Source organism: Homo sapiens, chromosome 8, assembly GCF_000001405.40.
Source record: "Homo sapiens chromosome 8, GRCh38.p14 Primary Assembly".
NCBI classification, from domain to species: domain Eukaryota; kingdom Metazoa; phylum Chordata; class Mammalia; order Primates; family Hominidae; genus Homo; species Homo sapiens.
Window position 1 is genome coordinate 135763387 of NC_000008.11, and position 24728 is coordinate 135788114.

A 24728-nucleotide genomic window follows, 5' to 3' on the forward strand; every position below is an offset into this window, starting at 1 on the left:
ATAAAGAAAAAGAAGCAATAGATGCACCTTCATGCTTGTTTGCACAAACACATAAGAATGCACTTTACATTTTTCAATGATGTTTTATGAGCAATCACCTACTCATTGACTTGTGAGCATATTTTTGCCAAACGAGCCAGTCAAAATAGGAACCACGATTTAGAAACACACAGACAGAAGTTATTTTTCATGAAGTTTTAGTAAACTAGCACATTAAAAAAATTGTTTATTTGAGAAGCAGACTTGGACAAAATTGGAAAGTCTTTCCAATAACTTTTAAAAGTTCTTAGAACTCCAAACCTCTACTTTTCTTTGACCAGAGCTTCAGAATCCACCCCACGCTGGCACTGTAGTGTATCACCACTGACCTTTGCTACCTGGCTTAATTTCCCATTCAGCTTGGCTGGGTAATAAAATCCAACTAATGGAATCCCATCTCTGAAATTTCTAGTCATCCCTGCATTGCACAATGGATGCAGCTAATCATGTTTTAAAGAGACTAAATATTACAGTGACATAAAAAGGTTCATTATGTCTTAGTCAGAAATATTAAACATCTGTGACCTGGGAGAGGAAAAAGGCAGAGATTAAGTTTGACGTCTGAGTGAAAACTGGGTGATAAAAACAATTAGGGCATTAATGGAGGAAGATTCTGTGCTTTTCATGTCATTGACCTTTCCAAGCCCACTGCCGCTCTTCGCCTGCTCTCTTTGATTGCTACGTCTCCTGAGAGGCGAAAAGAATCATTTAGGTGAATGGATGGAAATTCATTTAATTTCCTTAGCCAAGGAGGGCTGCTGCTCTGCCCCATTACCTGGGGGATGGTAGCTCTGCAGGCTCATTTCCAAATCAGTGAGCCAGTGAACCATCAGAACTCACACCTCTACTCCTTGAGATTATGAAGATGGCAGTGTTTGGATGATCAGTCTGACTTTTAACCTCTAGCAATGCATTCACTAGAAGGGAATCACAGACCAAGCTGGAGGGGTGGAGGAAAGAAGAGATGTTGAAAGTCAGGTGGAGCAGGTGCCAACCTTCATCCACCACTTGCTAGTTGCCTGTATGGCTTGTGCATGTTGCTGAACCTCTTTGAGCCTCATCTCTCAGAGGGAGATAATAATACCAAGGGTTGTGAGATCAACAATATATGTAAACAAAACATTCGAATAGTCTTGACACAGTGGCAACACAGCTAGATCTTCTTCCCTTTGCTTTCTAGATTCCTGTGAAAAACCCCTTCTATATGAGGACATTCATTCAATTACTCATTGTCTTCCCTACTTGGCGCTGACAATGGATCAGGCACAGGGCTCTGTGCTGGGGATTCAAAGATCATTGAAATGCATATTACCTTTAGTGGGTTCAGATTAAGTTGATCAGAGAATGGAAAGAAGAGGGACAATTTCATAACTTTGATGTGAAGACAAGTCAATTAATTTGGTCTATATTCTTGCTTTAAATAATTATAACAGTAATTGGTATTTAATGAGCACCTGTTATATCCTAAGCATTTGTGATGGTTGATACTGAGTGTCATGTCAACTTGATTGGATTGAAGGATGCAAAGTACTGTTCCTGGGTGTGTCTGTGAGGGTGTTGCCAAAAGAAGTTAACATTTAAGTCAATGGATTGGGAAAGGCAGACCCACCCTCAATCTGGGTGGGCACAATCTAATCAGCTGTCAGTGTGGCCAGAATAAAAGCAGGCAGAAGAACATAGAAAGACTAAACTGGTTTAATCTTCTGAGCTACATCTTTCTCCCATGCTGGAAGCTAACTGCCCTCAAACATGGAACTCCAAGTTCTTCAGCTCTGGGACTTGGAGGACTGGCTTCCTTGCTCCTTAGCTCGCAGACGGCCTATTGTGGGACCTCAGCTTATGATGGATTGTGTGAGTCAATACTCCTTAATAAACTCTGCTTTATATATACATCTATCCTATTAGTCCTGTCCCTCTAGAGAACCCTGACTAATACAGCATTGTCCTAAGCATTTAAAATGTGGGTTTTATTTTTATTTTTAAAATATTATTTTCTGATTACATTACACAGATTCATTGAGATTATAAAGGTCTAACAATGCCATTAGAAATAAATTTGGAAACAAGAGTAATGGATTAAAGTTTTTCTTGCAGGAACCATAAAGATATCTATTGTTAGCATTTTGGTATACAAGTTTCTAGAACTTACTGAGACTTTCTCTCTGTAAATATATAGATAACCATGAAGTGGTTTGTGTGTGTGTGTGTGTGTGTGCGCGTGTGTGTGCGTGTGTGTGTGTCCTCGCGTATGCAGTAGTTCCCCCTTAACCACAGTTTAGCTTTCCTCGGTTTCAGTTACCCACAGTCAACAAGGTCCAAAAAATATTAAATACATAGAGAACTGGAGCTCATTATGTCAGGTGAAATAAGCCAGGCACAGAGAGACAAACTTCACATGTTCTCACTTATTTGTGAGCTCTAAAAGAAAAATAATTGAACTCATGGAGATAGAGAATAGAAGGATGGTTGTCAGAGGCTGAGAAAGGTGGGGAGGGGATGGTTAGTGGGTATAAAAAAATAGAAAGAATGAATAAGACCTATATTTACTAGCACAACAGGATCACATTAGTCAAAAATAGTGTAATTATACATTTGAAAATAACTTGAAGAGTATAAGTGGCTTGTTTCTAACACAAGGGATAAATGCTTGAGGGGATGGATATTCCATTTACCCTGATATGATGATTACACATTGCATGCCTGTATCAAAATATCTTATGTAGCCCATAAATATATATGCCTACTATGTATTCATGAAAATAAAAAAATAAAAAGATAGCATTCTAGGCAAAAAAAAATTAAATAACAAATTTAAGAAATAAATAATTCATAAGCTTTTAATTGCATGTGGTTCTAAGTAGTGTGATGAAGTCTCACACTGTCCCACTCTGTCCAGCCAAGGACCTGCATCAGCTCTTTGTGTATTTACCCTGTATCTGCTACATTAGTCATTTAGTAGCCATCTAGGTTATCACATCAACAGATCACAAGAAGAAGAGTGAGTACAGTACAATAAAATATTTGGGAAAGAGAGAAGGAGAGACAAAGCAAAAGAGAGAGATCATATTTGCCTAACTTTTATTACTGTATATTGATATGATTGTTCCATTTTATTATTGTTGTTAATTTTTTACTGTGCCTAATTTATAAATTACACTTCATCATAGGTATATGTGTATAGGAAAAATCATAGTATTAATAGATATAGGGTTTGATACTATCTGCAGTTTCATGTATCCACTGTGGATCTTGGAATGCGTCTCCTACAGATAAGGGAGGTTTAGAACAATATGTTAGAAAATGCAGAATTTTGAAAACAAAAATGGAATTGCATTTTACTAATGTACAGCATGCTTTTTAGATCAATAGTATAATATGAATTTTTTTGTGTTCTATACTTTTTAATTAATTTTTTTCTAATTCTTGTACTGTAAGCAATTCTGAAGTGACTTTATACATACATGCTTGTATACTTAGCCAATAATTCCCCTAAGGTCAATTCCTAGAACTAGAATTTCTGGGTCAGCTTTTTAATGAGGTGTTTTTATGTCTAGAGCCAGGTTTGTTCAGAACACATGAAACAATGTGCTAACTTACAGACCTGTCCGCAATACAGGAAAGTGCCTATTTCTCTCCAGCCTCATCTGCATTTTTATCATTTTGGTTTCATCCCTTTTAACTTAACAGCTGCAGATATTTTCTTATTTTAGTTTTTATCTCTTCACTTTCTGGTGAGGTTGATCATTTTTTGACCATTTATGTTTTTCATGCGCGTCCGTGTGAAGAGACCACCAAATAGGCTTTGTGTGAGCAATAAAGCTGTTTATTTCACCTGGGTGCAGGTGGGCTGAGTCTGAAAAGAGAGTCAGCAAAGGGAGATAGGGGTGGGGCTGTTTTAGAGGATTTGGGAAGGTAATGGAAAATTACAGTCAAAGGGGGTTTTTCTCTGGTGGGCAGGGGTGGGGGTCACAAGGTGCTCAGTGGGGGAGCTTCTGAGCCAGGAGAAGGAAATTCACAGGGTTAATCACTCAGTTAAGGTGGGGCAGGAACAAATCACAATGGTGGAATGTCATCAGTTAAGGCAGGGCAGGGCCTTTTCACTTCTTTTGTGATTCTTCAGTTACTTCAGGCCATCTGGGCATATACATGTAAGTCACAGGGGATGCAATGGCTTGGCTTGGGCTCAGAGGCCTGACATTCCTGCCTTCTTATATTAATAAGAAAAATAAAATAGTGTTGAAGTGTTGGGGCGGCGAAAATTTTTGGGGGTGGTATGGAGAGAGAATGGGCCATGTTTCTCACGGCTGCTTCAAGCGGGATTAGGGGTGGTGTGGGAACCTAGAGTGGGAGAGATTAAGCTGAAGGAAGATTTTGTGGTAAGGGGTGATACTGTGGGGTTGTTAGAAGAAACATTTATCATATAGAATGATTGGTGATGGCCTGGATACGGTTTTGTATGAATTGAAAAACTAAATGGAATAAGAGAAGGAGAAAAACAGGTATAAAAGGACTAAGAATTGGGAGGACCTAGGACATCTAATTAGAGAGTGCCTACGGAGGGTCAGCATAGTCCTGCCAGCAAAGATTATTTATTTACTTCAAGAGTTAAGAGTGGCAGTTTGGGGATAGCACGAGGAGATATCAGCTGTGACGGCTTGGAGAAACAGTGTAAACTGGCAGTGTAAACAAGAGCAGGGCATGTATGAGTAGTTGAGAATGGTGAATAGGAGTATGACTAGACAGAAGATAGTAGGGATGACAAGTTATTTGGGGGCACAGTCTAAGTTTGTCTGGTGTCTGGAATGAGACTGGGGCCTAATAAAAAGGAACGTCTATACAGGAGCTCAAATGGGCTGTACCTTGTAGCATTCTGAGGACAGGCCTGACTTCTGAGAAGGGAAAGTGGTAAAAGTATTGTCCAGTCCTTTTTTAAGTTGGTGGCTGAGCTTGGTGAGGTGTGTTTTTAATAGACCATTAGTCTGTCACTGAATACTAAGAGCCTGAAAAAATGCTTGGCTGATTTGACTAATAAAGGCTGGCCTGTTATCAGACTGTATAGAGGTGGGAAGGCTAAACTGAGGAATTATGTCTGACAGAAGGGAAGAAATGACTGCGGTGGACTTCTCAGACCCTGTAGGAAAGACCTCTACCTATCTAGTGAAAGTGTCTACTTAGACTAAGAGGTATTTTAGTTTTTGTGACTCAGGGCATGTGGAGTAAAGCTAATTTGCCAGTCCTGGGTGGGGGCAAATCCTTGAGCTTGATGTGTAGGGAAGGGAGGGGGCCTGAATAATCCTTGAGGTGTAGTAGAATAGCAGACAGAATAACAGATGGAACACTAAGAAGTTATTTCCTTGAGGATAGATTTCTACGATGGAAAGAAAATGAAAGGTTCTAAGAGGCGGGCTAGTGGCTTATACAATAGCATAGCCTGCCTTTGCTGGTATGTGGTGATTAGGCCTGGTGGAACTGCCATCAATAAATCAAGCATGATCAGGGTGAGAAACAGGGAAGAAGGAAATGTGGGGAAATGGGATGAACATCAGGTGGATCAGAGAGATGCAGTCATGGGGGTCAGGTGTGGTATCAGGAATAATGTGGGAGGCCGGATTGAAGTCCCGGCCAGGAACAATGGTAATTGTGGGTCTTAATGAAGAGTGAGTACAGCTGAAGGAGCCAGGGAGCAGAAAGTATATGCATCAGGTATGAGGAAGAAAATAGATTTTGGAAGTTATGAGAAATGTAGAGAGTGAGTTGAGCACAGTTTGTGAGTTTGAGGGCCTCTAAAGGTATTAAAGCAGCAGCAGCCGCTGCACGCAGACATGAAGGCTAGGCTAAAACAGTAAGGTCAAGTTGTTTGCACAGAAAGGCTACAGGGTGCGGTCCTGGCTCTTGTGTAAGAATTCTGACCGCACTAACCATGCCTAGGAAAGAAAGGAGTTGTTGTTTTGTAAGGGATTGAGGTTTGGGAGATTAATCAGACACGATCAGCAGGGAGAGCACATGTGTTTTTACGAGAATTATGTTGAGATAGGTAACAGATGAGGACGAAATTTGGGCCTGACTGAAGTAATGGGGTCTGTCTGTGAAGCCTTGTGGCAGTACAGCCCAGGTAATTTGCTGAGCCTGATGGGTGTCAGGGTCAGTCCAAGTGAAAGCAAAGAGAGGCTGGGATGACGGGTGCAAAGGAATAGTAAAGAAAGCATCTTTGAGATCCAGAACAGAATAATGGATTGTGGAAGGAGGTATTGAGAATAGGAGAGTATATGGGTTTGGCACCATGGGGTGGATAGGCAAAACAATTTGGTTGATAAGGCATAGATCCTGAACTAACATGTAAGGCTTGTCTGGTTTTAGGACAGGTAAAATGGGGGAATTGTGGGAGAGTTTATAGGCTTTAAAAGGCCATGCTGTAGCAGGCGAGTGATAACAGGCTTTAATCCTTTGAAAGCATGCTGTGGGATGGGATATTGGCATTGAGTGGGGTAAGGGTGATTAGGTTTTAATGAGATGGTAAGGGTGCATGATTGGTCGCCAAGGAGGGAGTAGAGGTATCTTATACTTGTGGGTTAAGGTGGGGGAATACAAGAAGAGGACACAAAGGAGGTTTTGGATTGGGAAGAAGGGCGGCAATGAGATGCAGCTATAGTCCAGGAATAGTCAGGGAAGCAGATAATTTGGTTAAAATATCTCGGCCTAATAAGGGAACTGGGCAGGTGGGGATAACTAAAAAAGAGTGCATAAAAGCGTATTGTCTAAGTTGGCACCAGAGTTGGGGAGTTTTAAGAGGTTTAGAAGCCTGGCTATCAATACCCACAATAGTTATGGAGGCAAGGGAAACAGGTCCTTGAAAAGAAGGTAATGTGGAGTGAGTAGCCTCCGTATTGATTTAGAAGGGGACGGACTTACCCTCCACTGTGAGAGTTACCTAAAGCTCGGCATCTGTGATGGTCTACAGGGCTTCCGAGGCAATCAGGCAGCATCAGTCTTCAGCCGCTAAGCCAAGAAGGAGTCAGTCAGAGAGCCTTGGGCCAGAGTTCCAGGGGCTCTGGGAGTGGCTGCCAGGTGAGTTGAACAGTCCGATTTCCAGTGGGGTCCCGCACAGATGGGACACAGCTTAGGAGGAATCCTGGGCTGCAGGCATTCCTTGGCCTGGTGGTCAGATTTCTGGCACTTGTAGCAAGCTCCTGGGGGAGGAGGTTCTGGAGGAACGCCTGGCCGCTGCAGTTCAAGGGTTTGGAAGTTCTTGTGTGCTGGAGATGTGGCTGGGGTTTGTCTCACAGTGGAGGCAAGGAATTGCAACTTTTTTTTTTTATTATTATTGTACACCTTGAAGGTGAGGTTAATTAAGTCCTGTTGTGGGGTATGAGGGCCAGATTCTAATTTTTGGAGTTTTATTTAATGTCGGGAGCAGATTGGGTAATAAAGTGTATATTGAGAATAAGATGGCCTTTTGACCATTTAGGGTCTAGGGCTGTAAAGTGTCTCAGGGTTGCTGCCGAACGAGCCATGAACTGTTCTGGGTTTTTATATTTGATGAAAAAGAGCCTAAACGCTTCTGATTTGGGATAAAGAAAAAGGAGCATTAACCTTGACTATGCCTTTGGCTCCAGCCACCTTTTTAAGAGTAAATTGCTGAGCAGGTGGGGGAGGGCTAGTCACGGAACATAACTGCAAGCAGGACCAGGTGTGAGGAGGGGAGGCGATAAAAAGATTACAGGGTGGAGGAGCAGAGGCTGAGGAAGAATTGGGACCTAGCTTGGCCTGGTGAGGAGGGGAGAGGTCAGATGGGTCTGTAGAAAAGGGAGATTAGAAAGACTCAGTGACGCTTGGGGTTGGGACTGTGGGGACAGGCAGGAGGGAAAGAAGGAAGATTTGGGACGAGTTGCACTGGGCACAGAGACTAGGAAGGGACTGATGTGTAAAAGAATGCCTGGATGTCAGGCACCTCAGACCATTTGCCCATTTTATGACAAGAATTATTTAGATCTTGTAGGATGGAAAAATTGAAAGTGCCATTTTCTGGCTATTTGGAACTACCATCGAGTTTGTATTGGGGTCAAGTGGCATTGCAGAAGAAAATGAGATGCTTAGATTTTAGGTCAGGTGAGAGTTGAAGAGGTTTTAAGTTCTTAAGAATATAGGTTAAGGGAGAAGAAGGAGGAATGGAAGGTTGAAGCTTGCCCATAGTGAAGGAGGCAAGCCCAGAGAAAAGAGTAGAGACACGGAGAAGGGGTAGGGGTTTCTTGCCCTCCAGAAAAGCAGAGGAAGTGTTGGGGCATGGAAATAAGGAATTGGGGCACAGAGATAAGAGGTTGGGGTGCGGAAATAAGGGATTGGGGCACAGAGATAAGAGGTCGGGGTGTGGAAATAAGGGATTGGGGCACAGAGATAAGAGGTCGGGGTGTGGAAATAAGGGATTGGGGGTTCTTTCCCCCTAGCAAAGTGGGACTTGCCGCTAAGGGTGAAGGAGAAGGGGTTGAGGGGTACTTGCCCTCCCCCAGAAAAGCAGAGAAGGGGTAGAGACAAGGAGAGAAGGGGTTGGGGTACTTGCCCCTTCCCCAGAAAAGCAGAGAAGGGGTAGAGACAAGGAGAGAAGGGGTTGGGGTACTCGCCCCTTCCCCAGAAAAGCAGAGAAGGAGTAGAGACAAGGAGAGAAGGGGTTGGGGTACTTGCCCCTTCCCCAGAAAAGCAGGACTTGCCACTAAGGGTGAAGGACCAAGGCAGGCGTCCCTGCGTGGTCTGACACCCTTGAAACGTGGGTGAATAATCAGAGAGGTGTCCCTGCAATGATTAAACACCAAGAGAAGGCTGCCTTCCCAGTCTGTGACTGGCGCCGGAGTTTTGGGTCCAAGGATAAAAGGTGTCTCCTTTGTCTCTACCAGAAAATGAAAGGAATTGAAATTAAGAGAAGGGAGAGATTGAAGTGTGGCACCAAGATTGAAAGGAGAAAGAGGTTGAGGGATAGTGAGGGAGGTTGGAGAAGAGAGTGAAAAGAGGCCGCTTACCAGATTTGAAATTGGTGAGATGTTTCTTGGGCTGGTCGGTCTGAGGACCTGAGGTCATAGGTGGATCTTTCTCATGGAGCAAAGAGCAGGAGGACGGGGGATTGATCTCCTAAGAGAGGTCCCCCGATCCGAGTCACGGCACCAAATTTCATGCGCATCCGTGTGAAGAGACCACCAAACAGGCTTTGTGTGAGCAATAAAGCTGTTTATTTCACCTGGGTGCAGGTGGGCTGAGTCCGGAAAGAGAGTCAGCGAAGGGAGATGGGGTGGGGCCATTTTATAGGATTTGGGAAGGTAATGGAAAATTACAGTCAAAGGGGGTTGTTCTCTGGTGGGCAGGGGCAGGGGTCACAAGGTGCTCAGTGGGGGAGCTTCTGAGCCAGGAGAAGGAAATTCACAGGGTTAATCACTCAGTTAAGGTGGGGCAGGAACAAATCACAATGGTGGAATGTCATCAGTTAAGGCGGGGCAGGATCTTTTCACTTCTTTTGTGATTCTTCAGTTACTTCAGGCCATCTGGGTATATACGTGCAAGTCACAGGGGATGCAATGGCTTGGCTTGGACTCAGAGGCCTGACAATGTTGACTTAGCCATTTCTTAAAATAATAAAGTTTGAACTAGTTTTCCCAGTTTTAGAATAAGAAAATGGGTATCAGAGATGTTAATATGAGTTAATCCAGGCTTGTATGCCCAGCCTGTGCCAGAGCTGGATTTACACTGAAATCCAGCCTCTATGGGAGCTTATACTCTTCCCTACAGCTTACCTCCACCTATCTGCTCTGATGACCACCTTCCAAATACACGATGGGTACCAGCGTGTTTTGAATGAAACTCTAGCAATGTAGCTGGTAGTCACTGTCCCCATAGCCACCAGAATCCTGGACAAAGGAGCACGCAGGAAATCCACCTGCCTGGGTCCCTGTGGGGTGTTCGCTGCATCAGGGGTCTGACTGCAGGCACAGTTTCAATAACACAACCACAGTGGAAAGTTTAAGAGTTTTAACATTGCCAAGAATTTCTCTCATTCTACAGGTGGTCCCTTCACTTCGTTGATTGTTTTCTTTGCTGTGCCGAAGCTTTTTAGTTTAATATAATCCCAGTTGGTCTGCTTTTGTTTTTATTGGCTGTGCATTTGAATTCTTCCTTATAAAAATCTTTGCCCAGACCAATGCCTTGAAGCATTTCCCCTGTGTTTTCATGTCATAGTTTTATAGATTGGGGTCTTACATCTAAATCTTTAATCCATTTTGAATTGACTTTTGTACCTAGTGAGAGATAGGGGTCTAGTTTCATTCTTCTGCATATGAATATCCAGTTTTCCGTACGCCACATTTCCCACCTCGATCAGAAGGACTTGGGCCCCCCATGAGTGGCGCTGGGGAGTGGGTCTTCCGTACGCCACATTTCGAATATCCAGTTTTCTCAGTACCATTTATGGAAGAGGCTGTCCTTTCTCCAATATATATCTTGGGAACTTTGTAATCAGGTGGCCATAATATGGGGACTTATTTCTGGGCTCTGTTCCATTGGTCGATGTGTCTGTTTTTATACAAGTATCATGGCACTCAAACAACTCAATAGTAAAAAAAAAAAACACAAAAAAATACCCAAATAATCCAATTAAGAAATGGGCAAAAGATCTGAATATTTTTTTTTTTTAAAAAGACATATAAATGGCCAAGAAGTATATTAAAAATGCTCAACATAACTAATCATCTGAAAAGCACAAATTCAAACCAAAAGGAGCTGTCATCTTACTCCTATTAGAGTGGCAATGATCAAAAAGACAAAATACAACAAATGCTAGTAAGGGGGAATCTTATATACAGTTGGTGGAAATGTAAATTAGTGCAGCCATTATAGAAAACATCATGGAGTTTTCTCAAAAAACTAAAAATAGAAATACCACAGGATCCAGCAATTCCACTACTGAGTATTTATCCAAAGGATAGCAAATCAGTGTATTGAAGAGATATCTGCATCACCATGTTTATTGCAGCACTATTCACAATAGCCAAGATATAGAATCAACCTAAATGTCCAACAAAAAGTAAATGAATAAAAAATGTGGTGTATATACATAATGCAGTATTATTCAGCCATACAAAGAATGGAATCTTGTCATTTGTGGCCACATGAATGATTCTGGAGGACATTTATATTAAGTGAAATAAGTCTGGCACAGAAAGATAAATATCGCACATTCTCACTCACATGTGGGAGCTAGAAAGTGAGTTAATGGAAGCAGTGAATAGGATTGTCGCTATTAAGAGGCTAGAAGCACAGTCGGGAGGGGAGGGTGGGGAGAGGTTGCTTAGCAGATACAAAATTACAGCTAGGCAGGAGAAATAAGTTCTAGTATTCTTATAACACTATAGGGTGACTATAGTTAATAATTTGTATTTTCAAATAGCCAGAAGAGAGGATTTTTGAATGTTCTCAACACAAAGAAATGACAAATGTTTGAGGTGATGAATATGCTAATTACCTGGATTTGATCATTAATACTGTATAATGTATTCAAATATTACTCTCTACCCCATTAATATGTACAATCCTTATGTGTCAATTGAAAACACAAGAAAGAGTCTATGAGAAAAAAGTGTTTTTAGTCCTCACAAACTTGAAGGAGGGGACACAGCATGCCTGGAGGCCACACACATGAAAGTCTGTGAGCAAAGACGGAAGAGAGAAGAGAGTGACAACTAGCCACATAGATTGGGAAAGAAGGGTTGGGCCCTTTTAAGTTTGTGAGCAGATGCTTGCCTTTTCTACTTAAAGAAGTAGGGAGCCCAGTCTGGTAGGAGAGAGATACCTCTAAGTTCTCTCTGGCTACCAGCTTGAGCGATTTGGGTGTGGTGTAGAACTGGAAACTGTGTCAAGGGTGCCTGAGCCCTGCCTCTGGGATGAGAAAGCTAAACCCACATTGAAAACAGTCACTGAGGCCCCTTAAAATTAAATGCGCTCACTACACAGAGGGACTGGGTGAAACACTTGAATTTACTTGCTTCTTTATTTAACAGGCGTGGAGAGCACCTGCCCCCTGCAGAGCCCTGGGTAAGGCATGAGATCATGGAGAATCTTTATGACTACTCTGTTTTGGTTCTGTTTTGTGGAGATTGTCAGAAAAATATACTGGGGTAAAGATATTAAGCCCATTGAGTGAGCCAAGGACTTATATGAGGAAACATTGGGAGAAAAGCAGAAAGCAATGATGCAAAGTAGAGGCATATTTGGGGGCAAAGTCACTTCAAATGGGAGCAAACTTGAAGGTCAAGATTCCCGCAGACAATAAGAAGAAAGTGGAACTTTGAAATGTTTACTGTAAGTCACTCCTGGCAGACTGTGTCTTAACTTACAGCAGTACCCCCAGCCTGAACACAGCATCCAGCACTGAGTCTGCTCTTACCCACGCTGGTGGGAGGAACAAGTGAGGCTGGCCTGTGTCTTTGCTGCCACCTAATCCCCACACCCGCCAGCATTTATTCTCACCTCTTAGTGGAAGATGTGGCCTCCTCCCACACAAGGCTATTTCTTTGACTGTGCTTGTGATGGAAGATGCTGCCACCGCTCCCAGACCTTGTCCCATTGGTTGGCCTCTACATTCCCTGGGTCGGTTACCTCTCCCTCCAGTGTTTGGATGTGCTCAAGTCTCTCTCAACTTAAGAGTCACCACTCACCACATCTCATCTTCTGCCTATAGAAAATAGATTGTTGGTTACCAGAGGCCAGAGGAGGGGGAGGGGGCTGGAGTTGGGGGATGAAGGGGAAAAAGAGAATATAAATGTTTTTATTACCACTGAACTGTGTAGTTAAACTGTATGCACTCCTTTCCTATACATTCATACTTGAAATAATGGAATGCACATGAGTTCTCTACTTTCTTACCGTTCCTATCAGCACAATGACATCTGACTTCTACCTCCTCCACTCCAAGAAAGCAACACTTGGCGGTCATCAATAGCCTTCTTATTGCTTAATCCGATGATCAATTTTCAATATGCATCTTGCTTGACCTCATGGATTTTCAAACCTGCCTCTCTCTTGAATAAAGCCCTTTCTTTGCTTCCTTAGCCCTACATCAGCCAGGATCACCTTCTATCTCTCTTGCTTTTCCTCAGATCAGCCACTTCTGTATCTTCCTTAAGTATTGATGTGGCAGGTTGGGTTTCTCTATTTCATGACTGCGAAATAGATATGTATGTGTAGGGGGATTTTGGGAAATCCTCTTGGGAGATACACCTGAAATGGAGGGAAGAAAAAAAGATTGAGTTGAGAGACAAGTTGAACTGTGATTCATTTGCAACAGAGACATCCTTTTTTTGGAAAGCTCTAGAGCTGAGTTAGCCCTTCAGAATTATTCACAGTGAGCCAAGAGGTTTTGCCTTTACAACTCCTCTCACCTGATCAGGTATCAGACGAGGGTTGTCTCCAGGAAGGGGATAGGACCCTGGGTAAAGCAGCTGTCTTTGAATGCGGGCAATTCCAAGGGAAGGCTCAGCCTCTGGGCAATGAGTGCCTCAGCCTAGAGGTAGAATATCATGACATGTATGACAATCAGGGTTTCTCAAAATTTTGTTTTTGGCCTCTTCTCATCTCACTCTGTAAGCTCTGACTGGGTGAACCAACCTCCACAGATTCCATTACCTTCTAGATCCTAATGACTTGTTTCTCCAGCCTAGACATGTCTCCTGAGTCACCTGTGTAACATGCCACCTAATAACTGCAGTCATCAATAACCTCAACCTTGTTACTTCATACTACTAATAATACAACATTCATTATTGTTTCCCTCAAACACCAATTACCACCATTTCCTCAAGGGTCTGGAAACCTGGATACCACTTGGACCACTTTCTGCACATCAGTCCCAAACATGAGCAGTCCCTAAGCCTAGAGGCTCTACCTCCTAAATGTGTGCTGTGGCTTTCAAGGTCTCACCATCCCTTCTGCCAGTGCCACTGATGACCCAGGCTCCTCACTGCAATACTGGCCCTCCCCTCGGGGCTTCCTGTGTCTCTGCAGATATTCTTATTTGCAATGTATCTTCACACAGCAGGAAGTGTGATGGTTTAGAAGTGCTCAAGTCTGGAGACCATTATGTTAAGTGGAATAAGTCAAGCATAGAAAGACAAGTATCACGTTTTCTCACTCACATGTGGGAGCTAAAAAAGTGGATCTCAGGCTGGGTGCAGTGGCTCATACCTGTAATTCCAGCACTTTGAGAGGCCAAGGGGGGTGGATCGCTTCAGGCCAGGAGTTTGAGACCAGACTGGCCAATATGGTTAATCTCTACTACAAAATACAAAAATTATCTGGGTGTGGTGGCACATGCTTGTAATCCCAGCTGGGGGGCTGAGGCACAAGAATCACTTGAACCTGGGAGGCAGAGGTTGCCATAAGTTGAAATAGCACCACTGCATTCTAGCCTGGGTGACAGAGAGAGACTCTGTCTCAAAGAAAAAAAAAGGGGTCTCATGAAAATAGAAAACAGATTGGTGGTTACCAGAGGCCAGAGGATGGGGCTGGAGTTGGGGGATTAACGGGAAAAAGAGAATATGAATGTTTTTATTACCACTGAATTGTACACTTAAAAATGGTAAAGATGTTAACTCGTATGTGTATTCTACCTCAATAATGTTTTTTTAATGCTCAAACCTGTTACCATTCACCTACTAACGTCATCTTCAGTGCCTCCTTACTGTTCTTGTATTCACTCAACAACTAGCTACGAATGCCTAGTGTCAGGCCCTGTCCCATGTGCGGGGGCTGCGGTAATGACCACAGTGAAGTCACTAGCCTTGTTTGTTGTGGTCCATGGTGCAGAAAGAGATACTAAGTAATTGCGTGCATCATAGTATTAGTGGTAGAAGCAGATGAAGACAGGAGAGGGATGTCAGGGGTTGTGAATGTTCAGGAGAGTCAGTAAGAGGCCCAGCTGGGTGGAGCCTTTTGATCATGGAGGGATTTGGATTTTATGCCGAATGAGCCGGGAAGATGTAGAGGTTGGAGGCAGCAGAATGAACTGATCTAACCTACGTTAAAAGGACTCCTCTGGCTCCTGTGTGAATAGGTTGTATGAGGACAAAGGAGGAGAGTGGGTGTCTCAATACGAGGCTACTGCCCTTGTCTACGTGAGAGACACGGGGTGGAAGGGTGGGTGCAGAGGGCAATCGTCCTTGTCTCAGGTGCCCCTTTTCATACTGGCCTCACTGTGAGCCATGCTTCTGGGCAGCAAAGGCCTCATGGGTTGAAGAAAAGCAGAGCCGGTGCCTAGCTCAGAGCCCGTCTCATTGTTGGTGCACCGTAAATGCTTGTTGGATAAATGGCAAGTAATTTTAAAAGAACAATGTGGTACCATACAATCTTTGATCAGGAAAGACCTTCCGCTTCAAGGTAGAATATAAGGGTCTAACACAGCAGCCAATCAAATAAGCTACTTCTTTCAAGAATACTTTGCTGCTCTTCTTAACCAAATGGGGTTAAAGAAGTTAACCTTTAGCAAAGTAATATTTGTATCTACAATAGTGGACAGAAGCAGTTATGCAAAGATTATTGCCAAAAAACAGCACTTTCCTGCCCCACTTTTCCATATTCTCAATTCCTGCTTTCCAAAGCAACCATGTTCTGCTCTTCTGGTATCTGTACTGTTTCTTCTGGTATCACCTCCCTTATTTCTAAACAAAATGCTGTTACCACTTGTATTAATCTGTTTTCACACTGTTAATAAAGACATACCCAAGACTTGGCAATTTACCAAAGGAAAAAAAAAAAAAAAGATTTAATGGACTTACAGTTCCGCATGACTGGGGAGGCCTCACAATCATGGCAGAAGGCAAGGAGGAGTAAGTCACATCTTACATGGATGGTGGCAGGCCAAGAGAGAGCTTATGCAGTGAAACTCTTGTTTTTAAAGCCATCAGTTCTTGTGAGACCTATTCACTATCACAAGAACAGCACAGGAAAGACCTGCCCCCATGATTCAGTTACCTCCCACGGAGTCCCTCCCACAACACATGGGAATTTAAAGTGAGATTTGGGTGGGGACTCATCCGCACCATATTACCACTATTGATTGATGTTTTAATTGTAGATATCATCTACTGACTTTATGGAAGAGTATGATATAAACTCTCCTACACCCTCTCTACTCATGTTCCCTTTTTTCAACCTCTAGAAAGCATTATGTCCCAATTTTGGTTAAATCATTCATTGTAGATGACATGACTATGAAGCATTGTTCAAGGAATATTTACACAGCAATTAATGTGTCTCCACGCTAACCATTTTTTTCCTGGAGTTATTAAATACCTTGTGTCTTTGTTTGCTTAGCTTTCTATGCACCTACCATTAAGTCATACCTAAACTCCCAAAAGATTCTAAATCACCCCTGCATCTGTTCAAATGCATTGCATATTATTTTCCTTTTTCCCCTTGCATATGCTTCTCAGATCCCTCTGGCTCTAGATTGCTCCTGTCCAGTCTGCTCTGTTGACTCTGGATCTGCTCCACAGCTGCCATTCAGGGACTTACTCATCACCATGACATGTTCTTTGCCCTGCCTTAGTTTTAGGGGCCTCACTTCCTTTATCTCTGTGAGTCGGCTAAAACTGCAGTCTACTTCAAGTACCAGAAACCTGTGGGCAGTGACTGAAACAAATAGTTTCTTCCCCACATACCAAGAAGTCTGAAGTCAGCAGTTTCTGCATTGGTTCAGCCACCTGAATATGTCAGGGTCAGTGTCTATGCAATCCTTTTGTGCTTCTCCTCAGGATTGCAGAGTGGCTGTTCCAGCTCCAGCCATCACAGTTACATTCCAGTCAGAAAGAAGCGGGGGTGTTGATGGTCCTGGCTGCGTATATCTCCCTTGAGTAAGAAAGCAAAATAATTCTTGGGATTTGCCTCAGAAGATTTCTGCTTTAGCCTTGTTGGCCAGAACTGTTTACATGGCTGTACCTCTCTAGGAGAGAGGTTGGGAAAGTGGAGTATCATGCTTGGCTGGGACCAGTCACGACCTATTGTTTGGGTTGGCATGTTGCACTTTAAGCAAAACTGGGTTCTTTTTTCAACAGCAGGATGGATATTGGATAGCCAATGAGGAACAGCTCATTTCCTGTGGGTGCCCCTCTAGGTGGCTCAGGTTTAAGTCTAACGGGTCAGTTGCCTTGTATGTTTGCTTCCCATTGTCTAAAATTCAGCTGTCCCTCTCATGGGCTGTCATCCCCTTCCTCACCTTTCTTGTCTTTATGGCTTTACATTTAATGAATTTTTTTGTTGTCATCTTACTGTGTTATGAGAAGTGGCTGTTTTTGCTAAAAGTCCAGACTATCATCTTGACTTGCTCTGGACTGTCAAAGCTTTCCTTTTGTCCCTCATTTTTAACAACACATTTTTCCAGAGAGTCCTTTACACATTCCCTGAGGGCAGGACATCTTTCTACTCAGCTTTTCTTCCCTTCCAGAGCTTGGCTAAGTGTTTTGCTTATCGCGGTGCAGAGGACATATTTGCTTAACTGAGACACTTTTGGGAAATGAAATCTTACGTCTTATTCAGGTCGTCCACGTGACCACTTTGGCAGTTTTCTTTTCTTCTCATTTCTGGCCTCTATAGAACTACAGAACGGTGAACTATATTTTTCATGAGAAAGCAAGCAAAGTAAATGAAGCTCCAGGGGGCAGAGTTTCAGAGTCCAGAGCCAGGCCTAGGTGTGTTTTTAGTTGGAGGCTTCTGAGGTGGAGTAGTGGCTGGAAGGAAGGAGGAGGAGGAGGTGAGCCCAAGCATCCAGAAACACTCAGTGAAGCTGCAAAAGCCCTCAAAGGAGCTGGCTCTCAGTGAGTGGAGGGAGACACACTTCAGAGATTCATCCTGGGTGGAGCCTGAGATAGAGGAGAGGAACGTGCTTCTCTTAACAGTTCGGCCACTGATTGTGTGAACGGTGGCCAGCGGAGGCAGAAACAGAATAGCTCTTCAGGACTCTGAAGGGGACTGTCCTATCTGGATTCATCTCTTTGGGGCATTCGAATCTTGACTTTAAAAATCAGGTAGCCTCCATCCAACCTCAGCTCCCAGATATGAGTATGTGAAGTCTTTTAACTCAGACTTGATGAAGACAACAGGATTTATTGAAAGAATGACCATCCCAACACTGCAATGAGATAGGTCCAGGGTTTATTTCACCAGTGGTAGAAAATAAGTGCAAGTTGGGATCTGATATGTCTCTAGCCCCTTAGCTACTAATGTAACCAAGGAAGGAGTTTTAGGAGAATGAGGTTTCGTACTCTCTCTTTAAAACAGCTTTATTGATGTATAATTGTTATAGAATAAATTGTACGTATGAAACAGTTGATGTTTTGTTATATGTCTACACCTATGAAACCATCACAGAAATCAACATGACAGATGGTGAACAAATCCATCAGGCCCCTTTGTCATCTTTCCCTTCCCCCCTCCCTATCCCCAAGTAACCACTGATTGGCTTTATGTCACTACACATTAGTTTACATTTTCTAGTAGTTACATAAGCGAAATCATACAGTACGCATGCAGTCTTTTCTGTGTGGACTCTTATTTATTATGATTATTTTGAGATTTATGTATGTTCAGTGTGTACCAATAGTTTATTCTTTTATTGCTGAGTAGTATTCCATAATAAGGATACAGTAGAATTTGTTTAGCCATTTACCTGTCAATAAACATTCGGGTTCATTCCTAGCTTTTTGTTTTGTCTTCTATCATAAATAAAGCTGCACTGAACATTTGTGGATGTGATGTGGACTGGGGCTTTTCTGTATCTTTTATGTTATTCTCCTCCCACAGTGGTAGAGATTGTCACTGAGTCTCTGTTTTCTCCTGTCATTGTCCACATTGCAGAGTTTACATTCTGCATCTTTGCTAATGAGTTGTTCTGGAAACTTTTGCATCCCACAGATACAATCTGCAAAATTGTACCTGGGGTGGAGTGATGCTGCAGCTTTTGGTCTAGCATGAGCTCCTGTGGTCTGAGCCTGCATTCCATTTCCATCTGTGTTCAGTGTGGGCGTGGCACTTTATTAGTTTGCTGCAGCACTGGGAGAAGGTATTTTTAAACTCTTGGTAGCAAGGGTCATCTCCTGCTGGGATTCCACACCAAAACATGCCTCACCTCTTGGCAGTAACAGATGCTAAGCTGCTTTCTGTGCAACCCCATTAAGTAATCTTCCAGCAACAATTGATTGGGAATGGCTTAGGGCCTTTGATAAACTCAGGATGGATGATCACGTAGGCTGCAGCAAGACATTAACCAAGACCTCTCATGTTTCCCTTTCTGAACCACAACAGGTTCAGATAAAGTTTCTGAGGACCAGCTTGGATAACTAACAAATAACAACGTGGATTCCTCTGTTATTGTCTTTTCCAGCTTTCCAGTTTCAATTCTTGCAAGGAACCAAGAGCCTTTTTTTTTTCCCTCTCAACTCCTCATTAGCATCATGGCTGTGTTGTTATTTTTATAATTTATAGGTTTCAATATTAGGCTTTCCCCACAAGACTGTGCAACATACAGACCAGGGCTGTGTCTCTGTCATTCTCTCTCTAACTCTGGGGTTTGTTACAGTGTTTTGCTCAGTTGATACTTGTTGACATAATAAAGAATGAAGGAGTCAGAGTCCTGTGCTCAGTCCCTAGCAATGTGACGCAGTGAGTGTGCTTGGGCTACATTTTAGTTTGTTCAGGCTGTGGGAACAAAATACCACAAACCGGGTGGTTTATAAGCAACAGAAATTTATTTCTCACAGGTCTGGATGCTGGAAAGTCTAAGATAAGGATTCTGGCAGATTCAGTGTCTGGTGAGGGCCTATTTCCTGGTTCATAGATGTCACCTTCATGATGTGTCCTCGCATGGTGGAAGGGGTGAGGGGTCTCTCTCAGGCCTTTCCTATGAGGGCACTAATCCCATTGCCCTGAGACTAATGACGGCTCCATTCCCATGGTCTAATCACCCACAAAGGCTCCACTTCTCAGTGCCCTTGGGGGTTAGGATTTCAACGTAGGAATTTTGGGGAAGACACAAACATTGTGACCACAGCACCTCCCATTACAAACTACCATGGGTTGCATCACTTACACCAGTGGTCCCCAATCTCTAGGCCACAGACCGGTAATGGGGGCTGGGGGACCCTTGGTGTACCCGGTACCAGTCCATGGCCTGTTAGGAACTGGGCCGCCCAGCAGGAGGTGAGCAGCAGGCGAGTGAGTGAAGCGTCATCTGTAGTTACACCTGCTCCCCATTGTTCACGTTGCCACCTGAGCTCCGCCTCCTGTCGGATCAGCAGCGGCATTAGATTTTCATAGGAGCATGAACCCTATTGTGAACTGCTCATGCAAGGGATCTAGGTTGTGCACTCCTTATGAGAGTCTAATGCCCGATGATCTGTCACTGTCTCCCATCACCCCCAGATAGGATCATCTAGTTGCAGGAAAACAAGCTCGGGGCTCCTACTGATTCTACATTATGGTAAGTTGTATAATTATTTTGTTATACATTACAATGCAATAATATAGAAATAAAGTGCACAATAAATGTAATGTGCTTGAATCATCTGAAGCCATCCCCCACCCTGCCCTCTTGGTACATGGAAAAATTGTCTTCCATGAAACCAGTCCCTGGTGCCAAAAAGGTTGGGGAAATGCTGACTTACACAACAGAAATTTATTTGCTAAGTTTTGAAGGCTGGAAGTCCAGGATCAAGGTTCTGGCAAACTTATTAGCTTTTCCTCCTTCCCTGTCTCACCATTCCTTTCTTCTGCTTCCTGTGATCACCTTTTGAACTGTTTTTGCAAATTTATGTCTTGGGCTTTGCTCTTAAGGAAATCTAAAATGAGACACCATAGTTTTAGAAAAAGCCGAATAGTTTCTCTTTTTGAGAGTTCTCATAGAGTTTTATCAACTATTTTGGATTATACTTATCTAATTACGGTATGTTTTGGCCACTGAACCTTTTAAAATGTATTATCTTGAAAGCATGTGCCCCACAGACTGTAAGCTTGCTTTTGTGTTAGTGTTGGTTTAACATATAGAAATATCAGAGCTTAGGGTATCCTTTTAGATGCCAATTAAACATCACTCAGCATTGAAGACATATAGTCTTCTGAGAATACAGTAGCAAAGGGTACTGATTGTTGCACAAAAATATCATAACATTATGATCCCTTGATACTACTTACAATTTATAACACCCAAACACACGTGACAAGCCAAGGCATAATGACTGGCAAGGCTCAGTCATTATGTAATCAGAGGTCTCTCTGTGAGATACCTATTTTGATTCCTCATTTGAGGAAAAAATTGTGATGCTTACAGAACAATAATATAATTTTGATTTAGCTGATTTTTAATTCTATTTTACTTTAATTTCCAGCAACAATTGATTGGGAATGGCTTAGGGCTTTCGATAAACTCAGGATGGATGATCATGTAGGCTGCAGCACATGATCCATGTGCAGAACGTGCAGGTTTGTTACACAGGTATACGTGTGCCATGGTGGTTTGCTGCACCTATTGACCCATCATCTAGGTTTCTTTCCCTCGGCCCCTTACCCCCCACAGCCCCCGGTGTGTGTTTTTCCTCTCCCTGTGTCCATGTGTTCTCATTTTTCAACTCCCACTTATGAGTGAGAACATGCAGTGTTTGGTTTTCTGTTCCTGCGTTAGTTTGCTAAGGAAGATGGCTTCCAGCTTCATCCATGTCCCCTGCAAAGGACATGATCTCATTCCTTTTTATGGCTGCACAGTATTCCATGGTGTATATGTACCACATTTTCTTTATCCAGTCTATCATTGAAGGGCATTTGGGTTGGTTCCATGTCTTTGCTATTGTAAATAGTGCTGCAATAAACATACATGTGCATGTGTCTTCATAGTAGAATGATTTACATCTGTTGGGTGTATACCTAGTAATGGAATAGCTGGGTCAAATGGTATTTCTGGTTCTAGATCCTTGAGGAATTGCCACAATGTCTTCCACAATGGTTGAACTAATTTACATTCACACCAACAGTGTAAAAGTGTTCCTATTTCTCTACAGTTTCACCAGTATCTATTGTTTCTTGACTTTTTAATAATCGGCATTCTGACTGGCATAAGATGGTATGTCATTGTGGTTTTGATTTGCTTTTCTCTAAAGATCAGTGATGATGAGCTTTTTTCCATGTGTTTGTTGGCTACATATGTGTCTTCTTTTGAGAAGTGTCTGTTCATATCCTTTGCCTACTTTCTGATGTGGTTGTTTGTTTGTTTTTCTTGTAAATTTGTTTATGTTCCTTAGATTCTAGATATTAGACCCTTGTCAGATGGGTAGATTGCAAAAATTTTCTTCCATTTTGTAGGTTGCATGTTCACTCTGATGATGATAGTTGCTTTTGCTCTGCAGAAGCTCTTTAGTTTAATCAGATCCTATTTGTCAATTTTGGCTTTTGTTGCAATTGCTTTTGGAATTTTCATCATTAAGTCTTTTCCCATGCCTATATCCTGAATGGTATTGCCCAGGTTTTCTTCTAGGGTTTTTATGGTATGGGATTTTACATTTAAGTCTTTAATCCATATTGAGTTAATTTTTGTATAAGGGAGAGGTCTAGTTTCATTTTTCTGCATATGGCCAGCCACCTTTCCCAGCACCCTTTTTTGAATAGGAAATTTTTTCTCCATTGCTTGTTTTTGTCAGGTTTATCGAAGATCGGATGGTGGTAGATGTGTGGTGTTATTTCTGAGGCCTCTGTTCTGCTCCATTGGTCTATATGTCTGTTTTTGTACCAGTAACATACTGTTCTGGTTATTGTAGCCTTGAAGTATAGTTTGAAGTCAGGTAGCGTGATGCCTCCAGTTTTGTTCATTTTGCTTAGGATTGTATTGGCTATAGAAGCTATTCTTTGGTGCCATATGAAATTTAAAGTTTTTTTTTTCTAATTCTGTGAAATTTGATAAGAATAGCAATGAATCTATAAATTACTTTGGGTGGTATGGCCATTTTCACAATATTGATTCTTCCTATCCATGAGCATGGAATGTTCTTCCATTTGTTTGGGTCCTCTCTTATTTCCTTGAGCAGTGGTTTGTAGTTCTCCTTGAAGAGGTCCTTCACATCCCATGGTAGCTGTAATCCTAGGTATTTTATTCTCTTTGTGGCAATTGTGAATGGGAGTTCATTCATGATTTGGCTGTCTGCTTGTCTATATTTGGTGTATAGGAATGCTTGTTATTTTTGCACATTTATTTTGTATCCTGAGACTTTGCTGAATTTGCTTATCAGCTTAAGCAGTTTTGGGTTGAGACAATATGTTTTCTAAATATAGAATCATGTTATCTGCAAACAGAGATAATCTGACTTCCTCTCTTCCTATTTGAATATCCTTTATTTCTTTCTATTACCTGATTACCCTGGCCAGAACTCCCAATACTATGTTGAATAGGAGGGGTGAGAGAGGGCATCCTTGTCTTGTACCAGTTTTTGAAGGGAATACTTCCAGCTTTTGCCCATTCAATATGATATTGGCTGTGGGCTTGTCATAAATACCTCTTATTATTTTGAGATATGTTCCATCAATATCTAGTTTATTGAGAGTTTTTAAAATGAAGGGATGTTGAATTTTATCAAAGTCCTTGCCTGCATCTATTGAGATAATAATGGGGTTTTTGTGTTTGGTTCTGTTTATGTGTGATGGATTACATTGATTGATTTGCGTATGTTGAACCAGCCTTGCATCTCAAGGATGAAGCCAACTTGTTTGTGGTGAATAAGTTTTTTGATATGCTGCTGGATTTGTTTTGCCAGTATTTTATTGAGGATTTTTGCATTGATGTTCATCAGGGATATTGGCCTAAAGTTTTCTTTTTTTGTTGTGTCTCTGCCAGGTTTTGGTATCAGGATGATGCTGGCCTCATAAAATGAGTTAGGAAGGAGTCCCTCCTTTTCAATCATTGGGATTAGTTTCAGAAGGAATGGTACCAGCTCCTCTTTGTACCTCTGGTAGAATTTGGCTGTGAATCTGTCTGGTCCTGGGCTTTTTTCCGTCAGTAGGCTATTAATTTCTGCCTCTATTTCATAACTTGTTATTGGTCTATTCAGGGATTTGACTTCTTCCTGGTTTAGTCTTGGGAGGGTGTGTATGTCCAGGAATTTATTCATTTCTTGTAGAGTTTCTAGTTTATTTGCATAGAGGTGTTTATAATATTCTTTGATGGTAGTTTTGTATTTCTGTGGGATCAGTTGTGATATCCCCTTTATCATTTTTAATGTGTCTATTTGATTCTTGTCTCTTTTGTACTTTATTAGTGTAGCTAGTGGTCATCTATCTATTTAGTTAGTTTTTGAAAAAGTACACCTCCTGGATTCACTGGTTTTTTGGAGAGTTTTTCGTGTCTCTATCTCCTTCAATTCTGCTCTGACCTTAGTTATTTCTTGTCTTGTGCTAGCTTTTTGATTTGTTTGCTCTTGCTTCTCTAGATCTTTTAATTGTGATGTTAGGGTGTCGATTTGAGATCTCTCTAGCTTTCTGATGTAGGCATTTAGTGCTATAAATTTCCCTTTTAACAGTGCTTTAGTTGTGTCCCAGAGATTCTGGTACATTATCTCTTTGTTCTCATTGGTTTCAAACAACCTCTTGATTTCTGCCTTAATTTCATTATTTACCCAGCAGTTATTTAGGAG

General features: G+C 42.2%; 1 annotated feature.

Annotated features, from left to right (window-relative positions):
• Window positions 990-1584: an enhancer, noted in NCBI's record as "NANOG hESC enhancer chr8:136776619-136777213 (GRCh37/hg19 assembly coordinates)". NCBI's record gives its function as "activates a minimal SCP1, AML or CMV promoter by ChIP-STARR-seq in naive H9 embryonic stem cells {active_cell/tissue: H9 hESC(naive)}" and the evidence as "EXISTENCE:reporter gene assay evidence [ECO:0000049][PMID:30033119]".